This window comes from Homo sapiens, chromosome 20, assembly GCF_000001405.40.
Source record: "Homo sapiens chromosome 20, GRCh38.p14 Primary Assembly".
NCBI classification, from domain to species: domain Eukaryota; kingdom Metazoa; phylum Chordata; class Mammalia; order Primates; family Hominidae; genus Homo; species Homo sapiens.
The window spans coordinates 51091377-51093813 of NC_000020.11; the positions used below are offsets into that span (position 1 = coordinate 51091377).

The 2437-nt window shown below is 46.5% G+C and overlaps 1 annotated feature.

Moving 5' to 3' along the window:
- Positions 1140-2125: an enhancer, noted in NCBI's record as "H3K27ac hESC enhancer chr20:49709053-49710038 (GRCh37/hg19 assembly coordinates)". NCBI's record gives its function as "activates a minimal SCP1, AML or CMV promoter by ChIP-STARR-seq in primed H9 embryonic stem cells {active_cell/tissue: H9 hESC(primed)}" and the evidence as "EXISTENCE:reporter gene assay evidence [ECO:0000049][PMID:30033119]".

Genomic DNA, 2437 nt, shown 5'->3' on the forward strand with positions numbered 1-2437 from the left:
GGTCCCCAGAATCCCACGGCTACAAGTCAGGAGAGTCAGGATTCGAATCCAGAGTCTTTGTGTCTAAACCACCCTCCCCCTTTTTCGAAAGAAAAAAACAATTATGTAGAGTAGCTTCTTGATTTTATATATTTTCTTTTTAAAATAGCCTTATTGAAATGTAATTTACATACATAAAATTCATCTTTCAAAAGTGGGAAATTCTGTGGTTTTTAGTACATTCCCCAAATTGTGCAACCATCGCCGCTATCTAACTTTAGAACCTTTCCATCAGCCCCAAAAGAAAACCCAGACGCCCCCTCTTCTCAAAGAAATGCAGAGGCTCTGGACACATCCATCTCTCAGCTTCTGCAGAAACCACCTGCAGCTCAGCCCACTGCCCCTACAGGTAGGTGGGGAGGGAGGCTCTTAAGCAGAATCATTTTGCTCACATTCACTGAAAATCTCCAGGTCCCTAAAAAGCTTTGCCTGATTGTATTGAACTATTTATTGCCCTCCCTCTCAGTGTGAAGGGGGAGTATTTAATTATTTCCAGAGACACAGGCTGTTGTCATTTTATCTCCTTGATCTCCACCCCTACCGCCCTTCATGGTTTCGGGAGAAAGCTGCTGGGTAGAAGGTGCTGGTATCTTCCTTGCCTGTGATTAGAAGCCTCTCTCATTGGAGCTTTTGCTTCCGCTCGTTTTCCCCTTTGCCTCCTTTCAGCTGCCCCTTCCCGAAGCCGAATATCACCTGATTTTAGGCGCTGGGGATAAAGGAGCTGTGATTGGGACCTCCTGGTGTGCCAATCAAACACAGAAATGAAAGATTGGTTTTTCAAGACAAACCTGGAGGCAGCTGTTTGGTGCTTAAAAATCAGGCTGTGTTTAATCACTGAGGGGAAAACGTATCAATTGCAGTCTGATCACAGTATTGTCTAAACAGCCCCGGGAATTGGTAAATGACATGTGCAGGGTATTTTTAGCTCATGTTTTTAGAAGCTGAACAGTTTATCACCTCCCCACCCACCCCCCTGCCCCGACCTTGTTACCCCTTTCAGGCTGATCCTCTGTGATTCTGCTAGTTTCACCTTCCAAGGGGCTGTTAGATATGCAAACCGCATTCTTCTCCCTTACCTTCCAGACTTTTTCTTTGTTCAGTGGTGGTGGCTGTAAGGGAGAGAAGTGGTTGAGGAAAATAATTTATCTTTGGCTGTTTTTGAGGTTTGAGGTTCTCCGATGTGTAAGCAGTGGCTCGTGTTTGCACTTCCTGAATGCCTTTTCTCACCCTCTAGTAAATGCCTATTGGCATTTGGGAAGAAAGAATTTAGCAACATTCCAGTTGATCCCAGGGTTACAGAGAGAGCCAGTGGCAATAGACCTCCTGGGACCCTCACCCAGTGCTCTTGGGGTTTACGTCCCGGGTTGTACATTTAGGCTTAACGGCCTCTGTGTGACCTTGTCCACAAAACAAGACGTTTCGTTCCTTTGTGGACCCCAGGGGCTTTCCCATGGAAGGAAGTCGATGAATTCTTACTAAAGGAATAAACTTCAGAACCAAAGCCCGCGAGTGTTCGGTGTACTTTTTCTTCTTTCCTTATCATGAATAAGCCGGACTTCCCAATTGCAATAGCACTTGAATGGCATCATTGGCAATCACTCCGATGGCGCAGGTCCTGGCCGGCTGCTTCCCATGTGCAGCCTCTTATCCCCCTCTGAGGGCAGGGTTTCTCAGCCTTGGCTGTTGATATGTGGGGCACTTGGCAATTCTTTGCTGTGCAGGGCTTTCCTGAATATTACAGGATGATGAGCTGAATCATTGGTCTCTACTCTACCCACGAGCATCCCCCTCTCTGTATGACAACCTCAAATTTCTTCAGACATTGCCGAATGGACCCTGGGCAAGGATGGAGGGGGTCACCCCCCAGTTAAGAACCACTGGAGTATTTGGGGAGGCAAAAGGAAAAAAAAAGTAGACTGAAAATGTCAGAGGCATTCGAACTAGAGCAACTCCATCTTGAATAGGGGCGGGGTAAAATGAAGCTGAGACCTACTGGGCTGCATTCCCAGGAGGTTAAGACGTTCTTAGTCACAGGATGAGATAGGTCTGAAGATACAGGTCTCAAAGACCTTGCTGATAAAACAGCCTGCAGTAAAAAAGCCGGCCGAAACCCACCAAAACCAGGGTGGTGACAAAAGTGACCTCTGGTCAGCCTCCCTGCTCCTTATACACTAATTATAATGTATCAGCATGCTAGAAGACACTCCCACCAGCACCATGACCGTTTACAAATGCCATGGCAACACCCAGAAGTCACCCTATATGGTCTGAAAAGGGGAGGAACCCTCACTTCCAGCAATTGCCCACCCCTTTCCTGGAAAACTCATGAATAATCCACCCCTTGTTTAGCATATAATTAAGAAATAACTATAAGTATAAGCAGCTGAGCAGCCCATGC